A 21,572-nucleotide genomic window follows, 5' to 3' on the forward strand; every position below is an offset into this window, starting at 1 on the left:
AAAAAATTCCCATATACCCTTTTCGTACCTTCCCAAAATGTCACTATCCTAAATAACTGTAGTATAATCATCAAAGCCAGGAACTCAAATTGATAGAATACTAGAAATACATCCATATACCTTATTCAAATTGCAGTGTCCCACTAATGTCCTTTTTCAGGATCCAGACCAGGACCACAAGTGGCATTTAGTTGTCATGTCTCAGTCTCCCGCAACATGACTATTGTGCCTTCTAAATGCATCATATCAGACTGTGTATGATCTTACACTTTGATGCCTTGGTTAAGGTAGTATATGGCAGGTTTCTCCACCATAACATTTACTATTTTTCCTGTTGCAATTATTAAATATCTTGTAGAGAGCTACACTGAAACTAAGCAAATGTCCTGTTTCTCGTTATACGTCTCTCCTGCCCAGCTGGTTTTAACACCTGTTGATGACTTTTGCCTGCAACAGCTGCTCCTGTGGTATTTGTCAAATAGTGATTTTGTTGTGGTCTTTTAAAGTGCCATCATGGGCACACAATCCACAGCTGGGTTTGAGAATGTCCAGGAGTTAACTCTTGTCAGACCACTATCCCCTGTGGTCCCTGGTCCTTCAAGGTCTGCTATGCTGACACGGGCCCTTCAAGGCTTCCCTGCGAAAGCCAGCCCCAGGCAATAGCACTGTTCCAGGCTCCATTTTCTGCTTATTCTCTACCTGCTGCTTCTGCTCTTCTTTCTCTTCTGGATCCAGACTCTGGGGGTTATTCCTGGAATAAATCTAGATCTGAGGTTGGGCTTTGCATGTTTTTGGTGCAACACCCCATCGTCTGTCCTCCTGGGTTTATTAAACCTGAACTCCACCTTCCTCCTCCCCTAACACAGTCCTCTGAAGTTGGAGTCTATCACAGCCTTCATCATGCAGGTCATTTACGGAGGTCCAGCTCTTCAAATCTCTGTGCATTTGTGGAGGTGTTCTCTAACATTTTCTCTTTGGAAGACTAAGAGCCAATATTGGACAAATTATTCATGTACTTGGGAATTTGTAGACATAGTCAAATTGAATAAGTGATTATTTTGTCATTAAAAAGAAACTATGCTCACCCCTGATTATCCACCAAGGAATGATGGGAGTTGAGGAAAGGGGTGGAAGGGCAAGTCCCACAGAGGAGTAGGTCAAAATCTCCTTGGAGAACTAGGCATACTATTTTTATGTTCATCAGAAGTATGCACTGATCAAAAAGGCTGAGAAATTGTCTTCGCACAAAGTAGACTACTTTGAAGATCTAGATGTGAGTATAATTGAGACAGGATTGGGGTGAAGGAGTCAAGCTAGTCTCAGCAATTGCAGCATAAAACAGGAGGAATGCAATAATAACAATGAGATCTTTACTGAGTCCTTACTAACTCATTTAACCTCCACAGCAACCTAGGGCAGTAGGTAAAATTGCTGTTCTCATTTTAGAGCTGTGGGTTCAGAGTGACGAGGTAATCAAAGGGCACTCAGGCAATTACTTGGGGAGCCAATACTGCAGCCCAAAGCATCTGACTCCAGCACTCACATCCTGATCATTGCCGACCATGCCTGGCCAGGTATGAAACAGAATGAGGTTTCGCTGTGATCTGGGGGGACGTGGTTTGTAAGGGTGCCTGCACCCGTGCCTGTCACAGAGCACACTTCCCATTGGGAACATCCCTGTCGACACTGCTGGCCACCATGGCGCCCTCTGGCTTCCTGCCCACAACAGGAACAGACCGTGGCCTCCTTGGTGATGGTGGATCTTACTTTGGCTATTGCATCACTGCTCACTTACCCTCATCTCACCTAACCAGTAAGTCCACATGTGGGATCCCTGTCCCTACCACACACACATCCATTCAGGACAGGAAGTGCATGATGTGACTCACGAGCAGAGGGAAAGGGAATTGCGCTCAGCTGGTAAAGGCAAAGAAAGAACAAATAGAGGCTATAGCCACCAAGAAGAAGAAGAGAAGAGAAAGGACCAAGGCTAATAAGCACTGAGATGGCCTTGCTTCTTGTTAAAATATTGAGATGTTTCCAACTGCTTGGTAAATGGCCACTGCTCCAAGCCCACCCCCTTCCTAGTGCCCTGTCACCCTATCACTGTCTTTCCCCTTTCCAGCAGTTACAGAATTCAGAATGGTTTAATTCAGAATGGTTAGGTCCTAACCACTTGAATATTTTAAGTATTACCCCAGAAGAGAACTAAAACCAAACATTTGGCAAAAGTAGATTTTATCTACCTTTCATTGCCTTACTCCAGAGCGCGATTTCTGTGGCGCACAATTCCTCTCCCTGTCAAAATGCTCTTCCCCTTGGCAGCTTTTATCCTGCAACGCGGTTGCTGAAGATTCTGCTTTCACTCCCCTTCCTTGGGAAAGGCCCAGCAGAGAGGACCTTCCAACCAAACTGCCCTTAGCCATTCAGCATGGCCTTGCTGCCTAGAAGTTCACCCTCTTGGCAACTGTGGCCTACACTGTCCCAGCACGGACCCACGGCAGAAGAGGGCCCTCATGCACTCTGCACCCCTGTCAGACTTCTGTGAAATTAATGGCTCAGATAGCAAAGAAACCCAGTTCAGCCACCAAACTACTTAAAAGGCAGTTACAATCAAGGCATAAGATGTGATAATTTGATACACATATTCATTGTGTAATAATTTTCACATTAACACATCCATGTCCCCCAGTAGTTATCGTGTGTGTGTGTGTGTGTGTGTGTGTGTGGTTAGGACATGGGCAGTCTGTCAGATTCAAAACCAAGAACAACACTTCTCCAGCATTCCTTCCTCCAGTCCCCATTCTCTGCACCCTAGAGCAAACCCGCCTCCTGTGAGTAACACAAATTAACTCTAGTGTTAGTTAGAGAATTCAGTGTTTAGGAAATGGCCTTTGAGCCTCGGACTCAGTCTAGACGTTTTTCAGCCTGTGCCTCATCTGGATACCTTGTCGTCCTGGTTTCAGTGAGACCTGGAGCCGGCTCCGCTTTCTTTCCTGCCCATGCCGTCTGCTTCATGCTCCCATACTTTTCTTATAAAACAATATTTTAAACTCTTAAATAAAATTGTAGGAAAAAAGTCATCCATAAACCTAACTCACAAAGTAATTACCTTACATTTTAGTCTATTATTTTCATGTCTGTAACCATATAAATAATTATAGCCATAGCCTTAAATTTTTCTCTCAAATATTTTATTGTTACATAATATAATTTCATATTTTTAAATTACTATTTTAATAGCTAAATATGCCATTTAGCTACTATGTCCTAATTTCCTTAACCATTTCCTTATTGTTAGATACTTTATTTTTTTTATTATTTTACAGTTACAGATCACGTTACAATCAATACTTCAATGGACTTCACTTTTTTTCCTTTCCACTGTTTTCTTAGAATAAATCCTTAGGAGTTAGAATACTGGTCTGAGTCGTATAAATATTTTTATAGCCTTTTAACTTTCCATGAGGGCTATATTTGTTTATACCACTTGCCTTATTTCATGTCTGCATTCTATTTGTATGTCTTACCCAATCTTCTTCTGTAATTTTTATATTATCCTTTCTTTTACTTAGAAAAATTGTATATTTTTATGTAATTGCATCTGTTATTTTTCTCTTCTATCTTATATTGCCTTAATTCTTAGAATGTTATCAACACTTTAAAGTTCTGCCTTTTTGCTGGCCCATCTATAATTTCCTTAATATCTTGTTCTTTGATATATTTGGGAATTTTGAATATAGTTGTATATTTATTTTTTTCCACAACACTGTATCATTAACCCAATATCATTTATGATGTTTTGCTGTTTTACAAGGTTATAGTAATCCTACACTAATCTAGGTCAATTTCTGGGCTCTCTACGCATTTGCATTCATATGTTTTTATATTTTTCATTCATATTTCTTTGTTTTCAACATGATGCTACAGTATGTTTTGATATCAGGTACAGATACTTATTCCTTGTTATTATTTTTCTAAAAACATTCTTCTGTTATACTCTGACAATCTTCACTTCCATGCTATTTGAGTAGTCTGTGCTCTTGGCCACACCCTAAGCTAAGCCAGCACCGTGATTATCCCACCTCTGAAATAATAAACTTAAATCCCACTAAACCACGTACTCATTCTCTTCACCTTCTCCACTCTTTTATTCCAAGTCACCCTGCACTTTGCACCATTGGGATCTATTACCCCAGCTCCTCACTTCACTCCTTATCACCCCGGCGGAGCAAAATGATCAATTATTTTAGGATAATTCCATCAGCATTTCACGTTTCACAATTTCTTGTCTATCCACCAAAGTTACGTCGCCCATTTCCAACTCTGGAGGCCCCTGTCTGTCCAGGCTCAGTTTCTCCCCTCAGCTGCCCGCTGCAGCCTCACAGAAATCAAGGGCCCCTGTCACATTACAGTAGTTTCTCTGGTTGCGCATGCAGGATTTGCGTCAGGGTGGTAGAAGATTGGAATTGGCAAATCCAAATATGCTGCATTCTCCAATCTACGATGTTGTTATAGTGAGTGTTAAAAATTCTGGAACAGATTTTTTGTTGTTGTTGTTGTTGTTGTTGTTTTCTTTTATTATTATACTTTAAGTTTTAGGGTACATGTGCACATTGTGCAGGTTAGTTACATATGTATACATGTGCCATGCTGGTGCGCTGCACCAACTCGTCATCTAGCATTAGGTATATCTCCCAATGCTATCCCTCCCCCCTCCCCCCACCCCACATCTGGAACATATTTTAAAACGTGTCAGTCACCAACTAGGAGACTAAAGAGTTACCCTAGGAACACTGCATGGCATGTAAGAGCAAATTTCCTTTTTTACCAGTAACATTCATTTAAATAGGAAATAGGAAACTATAGAAGGAAATATGTGTGTGTGTGCGCGCATATGCGTGTGTGTGTGGGTGGGTGGGTGGAAGGGGTAAAACGGAAACACAGGGACAGAGACAGAAACAGTTGAGAATTCCTGCCTCAAAAAACCCGATCTGCTGGAGTTTGTATACATTGTCTTTTCCAAGCTTGAAAAAAGTTCTCCACAGAAGTAATGACCCTGGACTTGCAGAAGAGAGCGCTAAAGCTCAGAAAGTAAAGTCAGCTCTCAAGAAGACTTCGCTAGTAACTAGCGAAGTAGGATCCCACCCAGATCTGCGTTCTCCACCTGCTGTCACATGATGCAGTGAGTCAAACAGTACTGTCACTGCATACCTCATTACGATGCCACGCTGACTGTCTCAGCTCCACGACAGTGGTTATTGGCCATTTTGTTCAATGACACCTAGCAATGCCTGCTTCCTACCAGTTACTTAACAATAGTTGTTGAATAAATTGCTCCGTTCACTTATATTCATGGCATATGGATGAATAAAGAGCATGCTCACCAAATATTTGGCTAGCAAGTACTCATGTATGTACAAAAGAACAGCCATGTGTCGGGCAACAGAATCAGGGTCAGAAACTCTCCTGTCGGGGCAGCGAGCAATGTGGTGGGACAGGGGCTGCCTCAAAGCCTCCTTTTGGGTTCAAAACCCACAGGAAAATGCAGCAGAAGAGTTTAGGAAGAGTACTTTCTATTTTGTTTGGAGGTTGGTTTTTTTGGTTTCTGGCTATTTTTAAAAATTAACACCTTGCATTGGTGTGGTACCTTTGTTACAACCAACAAACCAACGTTAGTACATTACTATTAGCTAACATCTGTAATTTAAATTAGGGTTTACCCTTTTGTTATATAGTTGGATAATTTGTATTGTAGAGTTTAATGAGTTTTCACATATGCCAGTATCACTCATCCATTATCATAGCATCATACAGAATATTTTCACTGACCTAACAATCCCCTGTGCTTAACCTATGTATGCTCCTCCCTGTAGCTCTCAACACCTGGAAACCACTGATCTTTTTACCATTTTTATAGTTTTTTTTTTTTCAGTGTGCTGTACATTAAGAATCATATAGTATGGAGTCTTTTCAGACTGATTTCTTTTACTTAGGCATATGCATTTAAGGTTCCTCCATGTCTTTGTGGTTTGAGAGCTCTTTTTTTTTAAACCAGTGGATAGTATTCTGTTGTCTGGATATACTGCAGTTTGCTTATTCATTCAAGTATTAAATGTTATTTTGGTTGCTCTCAATTTTTAAGTTATGAATTCAGTTTCTAGTTAGCAGAGAACACATGAGCGTCAGTCTCTGGTACTATGCTGTTTCTAGAGCTCTACAGATGTGAGCCTACCACATGCTACAGCAGGAGAGACGTCTGCACATAGTAGGCCTGCTCTTCTCTGCAGTCTTCAGACTGGCTTTCTGATGCTTTTCATGATTATTTATTGAGGAATATAGTGTTAAATTCTAAGCCCAAATATTTTCTGATAGACTGTCACATTCGGGAAAAAAATGCAACAAAGACAGTTGAAGGACTCAAAATCCTCTCCTTTGAGGAAACACGGAAGAAGAGAGAATTCAGAGATGCTGCCAACCATCTGCAGCCACCTTAATGGCAGTCACCGGAAAGAGGGCCAGCCTCGCTCTGCAGGACCATGGGGGATAGAAGTAGGAGCAATGGGTGAAAGGAACCTTGGAGCCGTTCCAGGTTTTGAGAGGACGTTGAGGATTCCCATGCATTTTGTTGCAGACATTTCCCCATCTCAATCATCAAAGAGCAGGGGAGAGTTGCCATCTGACCATCGAGTCTCAAAATATTGCAGCCCTGGTAAGTTCGTACATATATACCCACAGGAACTTGATTCAGAAACGTGTCAATCAAAAACATTTCTGAGACAATCTTGAAATTGAGTCCAGTAACCCACACAGCCCAATTCTGTTATCTCAGATGTCATCAGACGCCCTTGAAGGTGATTGAGGTTGCTTTTGTAAAGTTGGAGTTTAGAACCCTTAAGTGAGCACATCAGCTCTCGCATGGGGTATGGTGGCACCTGGAGAAGGCAGGCATTGCTTTCCTCTGGTGCTCGTGAGTTTTCATATTCAACACATTTTGTCTTCTCTCTACCTGAGTTCAGAATTCTTCCTGCAGTTCTCACCTGAAACCACAGCCATGGGTGGCCCCACAGTGCTTTTCACTGAGTGACATGAGGACCCTGTAGGTCTTCTTCCCTCTGGAGCTGAGGCATCTGGTGTACCCCCTGTTTCAAGCAGTTCTTGCCCCACGGAGGGAGACCCTCTTCTGGGGACTTAGTGCCACACAGACACCCGGCCAGGGCCCAGCGCGTACAGCAGCTCCAGGAAGAATGCTGGCTGTTTTCAGGAACTAAGCTGGTTGGGTCCTTAATTTCATGCCTGAATCTCCTTTCATTTTCTGAGAGCCAAGTTATGTGGTATTTTCCTTGATTGAAATTCTTAAAATCATCTTGGTCCAGTGCCTACCACCCACCCTCTGCCTGTTGTTTCTCAGTATTTCTATAGAAACAGACATCCAGGTGTTAAAATCCTACAGTCCTAGAAATGGCTGTTCTCACCAGAGGACGTCAGAGCCCTGTCCTTTGTTGTCCAATGCCCAGTGCAATCTCCCTGTGGCTCAAGCTGGGCTCTGGACAAGGAGATCGTTTTCCACAGGCAAGAGCAGCACCCCTGGGACACGCCTCACCTTCATGAATTCAGCCTGGGCTCCTCAGGCCAGAGTCCTAAAAGCAGTTTTGACTCAAACCTATATTTCTTTTGGCTTCAAGGAAGAACTATATAAATTTCAGTTTGGCTACGCAGGTCAGGAAAGTAAATGTCATTACAGGCCTTTATTTAAGATCAGATTTTACATTTGACACTTTTTCTGTCAGAGGAAAGTACATGGAAATATCAAGTCATGCTTATAGTGCAATCAGTTTAATTAGTTTGTACACACTAGTAAAATATCAAACATTGGCAGAGTCACATCTTATGACTGTGCCCCTTACCATGAATGCATTACATTGTTGCCATGGAGTTTCATGTTAAAACACTATTTCATCATTTCACACTCCAAAACACTATTTGTTCAGCCAGTTGTGCCAAAACAATTGAGGAAGAGAAAAGCAGGCTGCAAACACAAAGCCAACCCTTTGTGGTGAGGTGGGATCGATGGCCATTTTAATCCTGCACCATTCTGTATTTTCTTAAAATTTTCCTCAGTGACAGATTAAGGGGCCTAAGGAAAAGTTACTGTGCAAAGAACTTGAAGAGACAGAATGAATTCCAGAAATTGTCCTGATCAGAAACTGGTAAGCCCAACAATAGTCAAACTGAGAGCCAAGTCAGGAATGCAATTTCATTCACAATTGCCACAAAAAGAATAAAATACCCAGGAATACAGCTAACTAGGGAGGTGAAAGATCTCTACAATGAAGTTTACAAAACACTGCTCAAAGAAATCAGAGATGACATAAACAAATATAAAAACATTCCATGCTCTTGGATAGGAAGACTCAGTATCATTAAAAGGGCCATACTGCCCAAAGCAATTTACAGATTCAATGCTATTTCTATTAAATTACCAACGACATTCTTCACAGAACTAGCAAAACTTATTTTTAAAATTCGTATGGAACTAAAAAGCCCTAATAGCAAAGGAATTTTTTTTTAATTAAAAAGTAAACTTTAGTGTCAAAAAATGCAAACTTGGGGAGGGCAGAAAGATCACACACAAGGCTGTCACTTCACACTTGGAGGGTTGCTTCCCAGAAGGTGGGCAGCTGGGCAGAGGTGCTCCTCTCTTCCCAGTCAATTGGGCAGCAGGGCAGAGGTGCTCCTCACTTCCCAGAAGGTGGGCAGCCAGGCAGAGGCACTCCTCTCTTCCCAGACAGGGTGGCGGCCAGACAGAGGCACTCCTGTCTTTCCAGTCAGTTGGGCGGCAGGGCAGAGGGGCTCCTCACTTCCCAGACGAGGGGGGCGGCCGGGCATATGCGCTCCTCACTTCCCAGACAGGGCCTCGGCAGGGCAGAGGAACTCCTCACTTCCCAGACAGTGTGGAGGCCAGGCAGAGGAACTCCTCACTTCCCAGACAGTGCGGCGCTGGGCAGAGGCGCTCCTCACTTCCCAGACAGTGCAGTGGCCAGGCAGAGGTGCTCCAACTTCCCAGATGTTGGCCACCGGGCAGAGGTGCTTCTCACTTCCTAGATGATGCCGGGGGTGGGCAGAGGCGCTCCTCACTTCCTAGATGGAGCAGCAGCTGGGCAGAGGCCCTCCTGTCTTCCCAGACGGGCAGCAGCTGGGCAAAGGGGCTCCTCACTTCCCAGTAGCCAAGGAAATCTTAAGCAAAATAAAAGCAGAGCTGGAGGCATCATGCTACCTGACTTCAAACTACACTATAGGGCTACAGTAACCAAAACAGCATGGTACTAGTACAAAAACAGACACATAGACCAATGGAAAAGAATAGAGAACCCAGAAATAAGGCTGCACACCTACAACCATTTGATCTTCAACAAACCTGACAAAAGCCACGGAGAAAGGATTCTGTATTCAATAAATGGTGCTGGGATAACTGGCTAGCCATATGCCTAAGATTGAAACTAGACCCCTTTCTTATACCATGTACAAAAATCAATTTAGGATGGATTAAAGACTTAAAGTATAAAAGTATAAAAACTCTGAAAGATAACCTAGGCAATACTATCCTGGACATAGGAACAGACAAATATTTCATGATGATGCCACAAGCAATTGAAACAAAATCAAAAGTTGGCAAATGGGACCTCTTTCATAGTTAAACTAAAGAGCTTTTGCACTGCAAAGGAAACTATCAACAAAGTAAACAGACAACCTACAGAATGGAAGAAAATTTTTGCAAACTATGCATCCAACAAAGGTCTAATATCCAGCATCATCTATAGGGAACTTAAAAAAATGTACAAGAAAAAAACAAACACCCCCATCAAAAAGCAGGCAAAGGACATGAACAGACACTTTTCAAAAGAAGACATACATGCTGTCAATAAGCATATGAAAAAAGCTCAACATCACTGATCATTTGAGAAATGCAAATCAAAACCACAATGAGATACCATCTAACACCAGTAAGAATGCCTATTACTAAAAAGTCAAAAAATAATGGAAGCTGGCAAGGTTGTGGAGAAAAAGGAATGCTTATACACATTGGTGAGAGTGTAAGTTAGTTCAACCATTGTGGAAGACGGTGTGGCAATTCCTCAAAGACCAAAAAACAGAACTACCATTCAACTCAGTAATACCATTACTGGGTATATACTCAAAGGAATATAAATCATTTTATCATAAAGACACATACATGTGTATGTTCAATGCAGCACTATTCACAATAGCAAGACATGGAATCAACCTAAATGCCCATCAATGGTAGACTGGATAAAGAAAATGTGGTACATATATACCATGGAATACTATGCAGCTATATTCTTTGCAGGAAGAAAGATGGAGCTGGAGGCCATTATCCCTAACAAATTAATACAGGAACAGAAAACCAAATGCCAAATGTTCTCACTTGTAAGTGGGACCTAAATAATGAGAACTCATGGGCACATAGAGGTGAACAGCACACACTGGGGCCTATCTATTGGAGGATGGAGAATGAGGGGAGGGAGAGGATCAGGAGAAACAACTAATGGGTACTAGGCTTAATATGCAGGTGATGAAATAATCTGTACAACAAATCCCCGTGACACAAGTTTACCTATATAACAAACCTACACATGGACCCCTGAATTTAAACGTTAAACAAAAAATAAGATAAAAAATAAGCACATGCAAAAAACAAACAGAAAAAGAAACTGGTCAGCTTTATGTGTGGAAGAAATGGGGGGATAGGAGAGTCATCAAATCCACTCAATTTGATGCATATTATTTGGCCTTAGTTCCAGAAACCATGCAAGAGGCTGGGCCCAGAGGTGAGCAGGAGCCCAGCACACACGCATCCTCCCCAGTGTGGGTAAGCACCACCGCAGTAGCCGAGTGGGCAGAGGAGAGAGCTTTCCATTTGTGTGGAGGGGTTGGGGTAGATGCCATGGGAAGCCACTCAGAGGGACTCTTGGATTTAATGAGTCCCAGAAGTAAGAAGAGGAGGTCCTCTCAACGTAATGAAAGATACAGAGGTTGGCTGGGCGTGGTGGCTCATGCCTGTAATCCCAGCACTTTGGGAGGCCAAGGAGGGCGGATCACCTGAGTTCGGGAGTTCGAGACCAGCCTGACCAACATGATGAAACCCCGTCTCTACTAAAAATACAAAATTAGCTGGGTGTGGTGGCACATGCCTGTAATCCCAGCTGCTTGGGAGGCCGAGGCAGGAGAATCGCTTGAACCTAGGAGGCAGAGGTTGCAGTGAGCTGAGATCGCGCTCCAGCCTGGGCAACAAGAGCGAAAATCCATCTCAAAAAAAAAAAAAAAAGAAAGAAACAGAGATTTAAGAGGTTACGTTGTTTGGGGGCCATCGAATAGAGCACAGTGCTGGTCACAGAATTCCCAAGGGCAGCAGATTTAGCGTCAGGGGCCTCTTTGAAACTGATCCTCTCTCCAGCAAATGTGCATACACGAAGACAATACACGCTGTAAACGATTTCTGGGTTTCGCGGATGTTGAAGAGATCCTGTTGGCAGCCTCTAAGTTTGTTTTTGCAGGCTGCCTGGCTTCCCAAGAACCAGGGTTGGTGCTTTGCAAATTAAGATGTTTATGATGTGAGTGCTTGGTCACAACTTTGGAACCATGTGATAGCTACTTTCATAAAAATCCAATTAAAAATGGATTAAGATCACTTTAATACTAGAGGAACCTTAAGAGATTGATGAGCTTGGCCTCTTTTCCTCCTCAGCAGATATGTTTTGTCAAGCCATCACAGACGGATGTGCATTTTCTTCCCGAGAACACTTGAAGCCAGGAAGGCCATGCTGCAATATTTTCCTCCAAATGCTTTTATTGAATGAAATATTTTCTGTTGTATTTGAAGCCACTTGTTCTTCCTCGATTCTTTGTAAACACTGAGAAATACTGATTAGGATTTCCAGAAAAAATAATTATTTTCCACTTACCAATTGACTCTGGTGTGTATTTTGTGGATAAAAACTAGAGTAACAACAATAATAGGAATTTTGTCAATATGGGTAAATCATGTGCCCCAACAGCAGTGCCCCCAGCTGGTAAGTGGGTGGGCGACCCTGGCCTGCGTTTCTTTCCTCTTTTGCAATGTTTGTCATGCTGTCTCCACCTTGCATTGATATTTTTAATATTTTGACTGTAGAGTGTATTTCCTTATGCATGCCCTTTAAAAATGATGCAGGATAATTTCTAGAACTTTAAATTTTTCACAGTCAGAAAAACATTGATGTATATCTTTTAAAGCAGTGGTAAGCCTAATTCTTGATGTTTCTTTTAAAAATGTAAATAGCTTAATTCTGTAATCAATGAGTCCACAAATGTTTGCAGACATTCTGCTATACACAAGGCAGCATGTTCTTGAAATAACAAAATATTAAATGCGCCATAAAAATTCTCTCTCTAGATTATTGTTTGAGCAATCTGGATATTACATGATTAAACAGTAATTTCCTGAGCACTTCTGCGTGGTTCTTTAATAAAGAAGAGGGGTTATTTACTGGTGTAACCTGAGACTCACCAGGGCATAGAGAAAGCAGAGGGTCTGTTTTCAGCCTCGTCTCTGAGCAGAACATCATTTTCTCATCAGTATTGGATTAAGCAATTTGTGGTCCCATCCCCTGGGCCTCTAAACCATTTTGTGGGCAATAGTCCATAATCACGGAAAGCTGGCAAGATGTTTGTGTAGCGCAATCATCACAAGTCTTTCAGGACGTTCTGATGTCGTTGAAAAAAATACTTTGCTAAACCATCAGTGTGAACATGCTTGAGTGACACCTGGTCACTATTCTGTCTGTAGGGAGGCAGGGCTGATTCCCAGAGTCTCCTGTCTTAGAGAAAGATAAGAACCGCTGACAGGGACCACCTTTCTCCCTTCTCTCTCAGGCAGCACCCAGCCTTCTCCTCTAGAAAAGCACTGGACCAAGACAAAAGAATCCCTGTTTCAAGGGATGCCAAATGACCACTCTGCCCTGTGTTAGACCTGGGTGAGCACTGATTTTAAGGTTTTTTCATTGGTAATGATATCCGGTTGAGGTGACCCCATTGTCTAGGGAAGGCAGGGCCAAGGACACATGTCCCTGATGAGGTCTGTCTCAAAAAGGACGTCTTGGGCCAGAGGATATTGTCTTACACACATGCATCAAGAAAGGGGCTGTATTTGAATCGATAGAAGTAGAATTACATTTTCTCGTAGAAGCAGTGTTGTGATACTAGGATATAGACTTGGCCAGTGGTATCACATAAAATAGCTCCAGGAGACATTTATTTACTCTTTCATTTACTCCAGGTGCTGGGCTATATCTCAGGTACTTTTCATAAACAAGGTTATTAAGGACACATGCCAAAACACTGTTCTGGAAACGTTTTGTTTTGTTTATTCCAGAATTATGCAAGGCAGAGTGGCATTTCAAAAGCTCTATTTTTCCCAGTTTTTCACAGCTGATTATTTTTTTAAAAGCTGCAGTTCTACCTCCATCTTCAACAGAGGCAGATGCCCAAGTCTTGCCATTGCTACGTGGTGTCCTGACCGCCAAGGAGGTAGAGCTCACAATCACATAGGAACATGTATTTCCAATTTTCTTTGTGCTAACTTCCTTGCCTCCATCAGTGCACTGGGTTTTGTGGATGTTGAAGAGATCCTGTTGGCAGTTTGTATTTGCAGGATGCCTAAAATCATAAGATATTATGTGCTGGGACATCAAAAAATATATCAGCTGCTAGCTCCAGAATAATGAGACTACTCTCACAAGTGCAAATATGGGTCATTGTCACTGCAATCTGGGTACCTCAAAGGCCTTCTAAGACAGAGACCATTGTCTATGTATCTTGCTATCCCCAGGCCTAACGCAGAGCTTGGCATCAAGCTGGTATCCCACCAATTAATGTCTATGAAATGAATGCATGAGCTATTAGCCCAGAGAAGATCTGGATAGTTTGCCTCATCAAGGCCTGTAAGTCTTGACCAAGGCTGGCCAGGGCAGCACAGGCTTCAGGGGAGAGCCAATCAAAAGGAGGCATGGCCAGCTCTGGGCAGGCATCGTGTACCAATGTGGGGACTAACCACTGAAATGCCAGTCAAGACACAAGAAGGGACCTAGGCCAAAACCTGCCCAAGGTTAGCAGAGCGGCAAGGGAAGGAAGTATCAGGAGGATCGAAGTATTGTGGGCACAAAAAGGCAAAGTGCTAGTATTGCTAATTTTGACCCAGTGCCCGTGGGCCACCAATAGGACAAAGGCGGCTCTGTGGTGTTCCCTGTCCCAGGCATACTGAAGGTGGGATAGAGTGTGAGAACACCACACAACCCAGGCTGCACCAGGGCGCCGGACACCAACAGAGCTCACGGATATTTTAGCTTCTGATAATTCAGCTTTCTTCTCTCACAGGTGCAAACTCACTTTTAGAAAAACAGTGAACCATGGGACTGTACTAACAGAAGAACAACAAACGCCCACCACAAGCCCCGCCTGTCTGTGACGTGGTGGCCAATGCAGTTAGGAAGAGAGAGCTCTTAACTCAGACTCGTTCACATCGAGCTGGTCATGACTGGAAAGTTTACATGTATTGGCAAATATGCATGTTTTAAACTATGGTGAAACCCCGTCTCTACTGAAAATATAAAAAATTAGCCGGGCATGGTGGTGGGCGCCTTCAGTGAGTTTCTGAATTAGTGTGGGGCATTGAGGAAATATTTCAGGGACAGAACTTCACCCCAGCCCAGGCCTTTTCTCACATGCAAAGGCAGAGGCAAGGGCAGAAGTCGTCGTCTTGGGATGAAGGTCTGCAAAGTCATTCATTTATGCCCAGGAATTGGAAATCTCAAGACTCTAGGCTGTTTCCCTAGTTAGCCTTTGCACTCTGAACTTGGCTTACTCCCCTCCCTAGTGACCACTCTTCTGAACTTCACTCACATTTCTGTCTAAGAACTAAGACGCAAGAGGAGGTCCCAACCTCAAAGAAACTTGTTTCAAGTTTCTTTCAGAGGAGGAGTTAAGCCAATTAGATGGTTACGTGTTGTGTAACCGAGCTCATAAAACATGAAATGGCTTGAACTAAGGTAACATGGGATAAGTGGCTAGAAGACTTTTTAACATTCTTAATTTGGCTGTAGGGTGGAACACATGAACGACTTCAGAAACATTTTTGGTGAGCAAGATAGAATGGAATTGTTGTTCATGTATCAGGCAACTTAGTGTTTGGGAGATAACCCCAGATAAAAGGAAAATTATCATGGGATGAAATTAATGAAATAAGTATTAAAAAGTTCTTAGCCATGAAACAGCTAAGGACAATTTACAGAAGTCGGAGAGGCGAAAGTGAGATGAGGAGGAAGGAGGGAAATGCCTCTGACAAATACAGCCAATTAAAAAGTACCGTGATTCTAAGCCACAGCACGCTCTGTCTGGTCTGGCCTCGCCTGGAGTTCTTCTGCACCCACACCGAACCCAGCTGCTCCCCTCACTCCCCACCATCCTGCGTCTCCTCACACAGCCCAGTGGAATCCAGCGGTGTGCATGCTCAGGTCAGCCTTCTCTCTTCCAACCCTGGTAGCTCATGACCAGCTCGTGAAAAAGATCACTACACAGCGTGGCAGAATTGCGCCACTGAAAATGCACGTTCTCAGCGTTCAGCTGGCCTCATGATTTCACTTCAGTCTCCTAATTGTCTTTGGTGAGAATTTTCTCTTTTTTTCCTTTTTTTCTTTTTTTTTTTTCAGATGGAGTCTCGCTCTGTCGCCCAGGCTGGAGTGCAGTGGCCCGATCTCAGCTCACTGCAACCTCCGCCTCCCAGGTTCATGCCATTCTCCTGCCTCATCCTCCCGAGTAGCTGGCACTACAGGCGCCCACCACCATGCCTGGCTAATTTTTTGTATTTTCAGTAGAGACGGGGTTTCACCATGTTAGCCAGGATGGTCTCGATCTCCTGACCTCGTGATCCGCCCGTCTTGGCCTCCCAAAGTGCTGGGATTACAGGCATGAGCCACCACGCCTGGCCTTTTTTTTTTCCTTTTTAAATTTGTTTTTAAATTAAGAATTGTATCTATTTAAGACTTTTCTGTATCTCCTTAAGCCACCCCTCATCTGTGCTAGCAGGCTGCTCTGCATCCTACTTCGAGGAAGTTGAGGACAGCAGCCCTCCCTGATCACCCCCAAATGCCTGACCCTGAACTTTAGAGGTATCTCTAGCTTTTCCATAGCTTCCTTTCTTTTTCTTGGCTCAGACCTTAAATTCTTGGCTCCCTGCTTATCTCCTCCACACACTCCCCTTAATTAACGTCATGAGCACTTTTTGGATTCTCTGCCTATTTCCTCTGACTCTCCAATCCTGCTCTCCATTTCTGCCCTTCCCCAGGCTGCAGAGACAAGGACCTAATTGCCTCGGGGGCATCATCACTATTCTTCTGGTGTCTCCAATGACATCATCACCTACCTCTTTAGCTAGCCCTTGCCTTTTCTGTACTCTGCTGTGGCTGGTGGGGACTGTCACCAGTTATCAAAACCTAGAAGTTCTGTCTTTTCCATCACCTTCTCTACCCCTGGAGGTCTTTCCAATTTCCCTTCATTATTATTTCTCCAGCCTGCTCTGCTTTTCCTCGTCTACTCCTACTGCTTCAGTCCAAACCCTCACTCGCACCTAGACAACTCAGAAGCCTCCAAAATCATCTCTAGTCTCAAGTCTTGTCCCTTTTAAATCTGTCTCCCACACTGTGGTTTGGGCACTCACCTTTAAATGGAAATTTGTCTGGCTTAGCCCCTTTTAGTGCCTTGCCATTGCCCACATAAGAAATCCAAGGCCAGGCGCAGTGGCTCACGCCTGTAATCCCAGCACTTTGGGAGGCTGAGGAGAATCATTTGAGGTGAGGAGTTCAAGAACAGCCTGGCCAACATGGAGAAACCCCGTCTCTACTAAAAATACAAAATTAGCTGGGCGTGGTGGCATGTACCTGTAATCCCAGCTACTCGGGAGACTGAGTCAGGAGAATCACTTGAACCTTGGAGGCAGAGGTTGCAGTGAGCCAAGATCGCACACCATCGCACTCCAGCCTGGGCAACAAGAGTGAAACTCCATCTCAAAAAAAAAAAAAAAAATCCAAGTATGCTACCAGCACACACAGGGTCCTCCCTCTCCAGTCTGCCATTGCCAGCTGTGCCTTGCACGTCATGATCCAGCAACACCGAACTGCCCATAGTCCCCACACTCACTGTGCCATTTCTGAACACCTTACAATTTTTTATCCTCCCTCTCTGGCCAAATCCTATTTTGACAACAAAAATATCATTTTCCTCAGGACACCCTTCCGAATTCTATAGACCACATGAGGTTCCCCTCTGCATTTCCATGATGCTTTTTGTTAATGAACTTTTAAGAGTTCCTTTTGCTGGGTGCAGTGTCTCACGCCTGTAATCCCAGCACTTTGGGAGGCTGAGGTAGGCGGATCATAAGGTCAGCAGATCAAGACCAGCCTGACCAACATGGTGAAAGCCCGTCTCTACTAAAAATACAAAAATTAGCCAGGTGTGGTGGTGCGTGCCTGTAATCCCAGCTACTCAGGAGGCTGAGACAGGAGAATCGCTTGAATCCAGGAGGCGGAGGTTGTAGTGGGCCGAGATCGCGCCACTGCACTCCAGCCTGGGCGACAGAGCGAGACTCTGTCTCAAAAAACAAAAACAAACAAAAAAAGAGTTCCTATTATGTTTCATCTGAATGAATTAGACTTAGTACACAGTTGATTTTCTCCACATCTGATGACTAGCTGACACTGAACATCAGTAAGCTAGCCTTCCGACATGAGAACTTCATGTGCATTCGGTAACTCCGCATTTCATGTGATCATTACCTGCATTACTCACATGAAATCTCACTGACCTGGATTGTAACAACCTTTCCACATGTCTTCCTCAGCAGTCCCTCAGTCCCTCGAGAGTGGTAAATATGTCTAATTGATTTACATATTCTAATATCTGACAGTGTGACTGTTTCAAAACAGTTGCTCCATAATTGTTGAATTAATGAAATACTAACTCTCCTCCATTTCAGCGTAGTATCCTTCTGTCTTTATGACAAGGATTGCTAATTTCAAGCTTTTAGCCCAGTTGTTTGGTAGTCAAGGAATATATAAAACTGTTTCCTCATGGAACAAAAATAGTAATATCCACAAAACCCCATTTTTCCATCCACCTCCTGTATATAAATAAACCTAAGATCATTAAAAGGGATGTCATGACTTGAGAGGTCTCCACCTGAAACTGGGACTTGACTTTGGTTTTATTGGCTCTGCTAGGCTGTGGGCTGAATATAAAACCATGCCTAGTCCTTTGAATACACTTATTATTTCTTTACAAATGCAATTTGTAGTGGACTTCCTGAAAATGTTTCAGAACAGGATATAGCATCTTATTTTTTTTAACTTTTTCTTTAAAATATTCAAGGAAATCTAAAAAGCAGAGAGAGAAAACTCAGCGCAGCTCTGGCAGCAAAGATCAGAACCATCAGAGGCCAGCGTTAGGGAAGGTTATGGTAAGAGGCAGCACTTGCAGTCAAAGTCAGATTCTTCATCAGACGCAGTGCAACGCCGACCCAAGCAGCTCCTGGCTGGCACGGGGCCATGCTCCAGGCTGGGTCTTCTCCAGTCCTTTCGTTCACACCTGCACTTGTACGTTTTGCTTCAGTTTATTACTCTGTCTTTCCTTTGCACCTAAACAAAACAACTACTTTCCCCACCCGCCCCCGCCCCCCTCAACCCCGAGTAAGTTTGGACCATTCTCTCAGACATTTCTTGGTATGTAGAAATTTCTGCCTGGAATAAAGTTACTTGAATGACGACGTTAACCCTTCTTGGATTTGCCCTTGGATCGTAATTCAAGGACCCTGTGCCCCTCACTAAGTCTCAGATGCATCTCTCTTGTTTAGATAATTATTGTACATCTTCTTCTGGGTCTTCAGGCCTGGCATTCTTCTTGACATTCTGACGTCTGCAAATCTATCTCATTCACTCCCTTATGTTATCGACTGCAACTTTCTTCAGAGCACTGGCTTTTTGATGCCCGAGTCAATTAGATCAGGATAATTTGTGAGATAAATGGAAAATTCCTACACGTGCTCTTGTGTCAATATTTTCTCTCCATGAAAAATCACACTTTGCTCCTTAGCCGCTTGGGTTGTTACCTTAGCACAGTATGACTGAGTCAGGAGAGCATATTTCTGTTTTTCACTGATTCAAATCTAAGCTGAGGAGCTACCCGCTAGGCTGGCACCTTCCCTCACTACCTACCTGGGCCTTCCCCTGCATTTGGTGGGTGCACTCCTGAGCGGCTTGCTGAGTCAGAACTAGTTGGAAGATGACTAGGACTTCCAACAAGGTTGCTGACAAGTTTCTCTTCTAATACATGTGAGCAATTTCCTGGCCTGCTTTTTTTTGCTGCCTCTCCACTAGATGTTCTTTGAAAGCATGGTAACCAGTCATGGAAAGGTTTTCTGACATACAGGAGACCAAACGTTGGCTAGCTAATTCTTAGGCTGAAATTATTACTGTAATTTGAAATAATAATTATAAAAACATGCAGGATGTGAATCTTTAATAATCCAACCAAATTCAGAGACCGAAACATGTTACCAGGCAGCTTGTAAAAATGTTCCTGGTACAGTATGCTGTTGCATTCTGGATAGCGTCTCTTACCCCTCTGAGCAGTGCAATCACCCTGTAATAATTCTCCACCTTTTACACTCTTCTGCCTGGAAGGTGGCATAGTGGTGTAAATAAGCTTTCTGAATTTAAACAACAACAACCCTGATTTGCGGCATTTGCTGACTTTTGTTGTGTAAAGATTCCTGCCATAGCTGATTTCAAGCTATAAACAGTTTAGCAGCTTCCTCATAGAATTGCTGTGCATTTAACAATTGGTGCTCTGAGCCCCCAGGAGCTGCCTCCAGGATAACCCTGGGTGTGGAGCCCAACCTGAGACACCCATCGCCTCTCTTACGCCCAACTGAGGGTTTGCCAAGGTCCATGTGAGAGGTGAGGCCAGCTGGACTTCCTGGGTCCAGTGGGGACTTGGGGAACTTTCCTGTCTTACAAGAGGATTGTAAAACGCACCAATCAGCACTCTGTAAAACACTAATCAGTGCTCTGTAAAACACACCAATTGGCGCTCTGTCAAATGCACGAATCAGCAGGATTCTAAACGTAGCCAATTGTGGGGAGGATTGAAAAAAGGGCACTCTGATAGGACAGAAACGGGACATGGGTGGGCATAATAAAGGAATAAAAGCTGGCCATCCCAGCCAGCAGCAGCAACCTGCTCAGGTACGCTTCCACGTTGCAGAAGCTTTGTCCTTTCGTTCTTCACAGTAAACCTTGCTACCCCTCAGTTCTTGGGTCTGTGCCATCTTTAAGAGCTGTAACACTCACCATGAAGGTCTGCGGCTTCATTCTTTGAAGTCAGTGAGACCATGAACCCACCAGCAGGAACCAGCTCCGGACACACATGGTCTCTTCAGAAACAAAGTGGTCTCAGCAATGAACGTTTCCAGCGAACTCCCTATATAATTTGAATGTAACAATATATCACAACATAAACAGGCTTTCCAATTTATGCAATAGGCTTTACGTTTTCTGTATTTTTGTCTGCATGTATAGAATTGACAAAGCCTATATTTTCCACATAGGAAAATATACAACGAAGAGTTATTTTGTTTTTGTATCAGTGTTGCGTGGAATATTCCACTTCAGTTAAAACAGCTGTTGTTTGGGCAGAGTATCAACGTGTGGCACACACAAGCTAAACAACCCAGTAGAGACTGCATTCTTCAAGAGGAGCTGCTTACCTGGCAATGCCCGCTGGGAGCTTCCCTAACTGGAGGTCCCCTCGCTGGGAGCATCCTGCCAGTGCAGACAGACGTATAACCTGGGATGTCTGTTTTTTCTTTTTTCTCTTGACCTAGTCAGAAGATTGAACATGTTGTAACTGTAGAAAGCCCGTCATCCTTGTGTATGCACTTGCTGAAAGATCCACTGAAGAGCAACCTTCATGAACATTACCAGGGGACTTGTGCTCCTATAAAACGCACTGTTTTCCTCACTGCGAGGTGGGTCTCTCACCGCGATGGACTATCTGTGATCACAGAGCACTTCTTCCCTGGGCCTTCCCTGTCACACTGATGGTGTGAGTATGTAGGGCAGGGGTGGGAGTGAACATGTTAATCTCTTTTGAATAAACTGATTTTGAAGTAGATGTCTCAAAAAAAAGTTTGTCGCAATACTTTCTGGGTAGTGACATTAATTCTCCCCACCAAGAGTAGTAGTTTGGAGTTATTACTTATAAGCAGTGTGGCTTATTTAATAGTTTTATTCCCAATGCATTTCAGGCCACACATCTTCAACGTATAAAGTGTTTGTGTAGGGGAGAATTAAAGTAAAACAGAGAGCCACTTCTTCCTCCCAACCTGTCTCCAGTGATTCCAGAGAGAATGCGGCAGGTCATAAGTACAGAACAATGCTTTGCACCTGAAATAAACCAATAAAGTA

The 21,572-nt window shown here is 43.5% G+C and overlaps 1 long non-coding RNA gene across 1 annotated transcript in view, besides 1 other annotated feature; it reads left to right on the forward strand.

The window, feature by feature from the left end:
* SEC61G-DT (SEC61G divergent transcript) overlaps window positions 1–21,293 on the forward strand; it is a 45,657-nt gene extending 24,364 nt beyond the window's left edge. Inside the window, exon 3 of the long non-coding RNA NR_110040.1 lies at window positions 20,990–21,293. This is a non-coding gene — a long non-coding RNA (SEC61G divergent transcript). The remainder of the gene's footprint in view (window positions 1–20,989) is intronic.
* Window positions 4,735–5,412: a silencer, noted in NCBI's record as "S2 fragment used in the reporter construct". NCBI's record gives its function as "represses activity of a beta-globin enhancer-driven SV40 promoter in transfected K562 erythroleukemia cells {active_cell/tissue: K562}" and the evidence as "EXISTENCE:reporter gene assay evidence [ECO:0000049][PMID:30886051]".
* Window positions 21,294–21,572: the final 279 nt, after the last annotated feature.

The sequence above is a fragment of the Homo sapiens genome, chromosome 7 (genome assembly GCF_000001405.40).
Source record: "Homo sapiens chromosome 7, GRCh38.p14 Primary Assembly".
Classification (NCBI taxonomy): domain Eukaryota; kingdom Metazoa; phylum Chordata; class Mammalia; order Primates; family Hominidae; genus Homo; species Homo sapiens.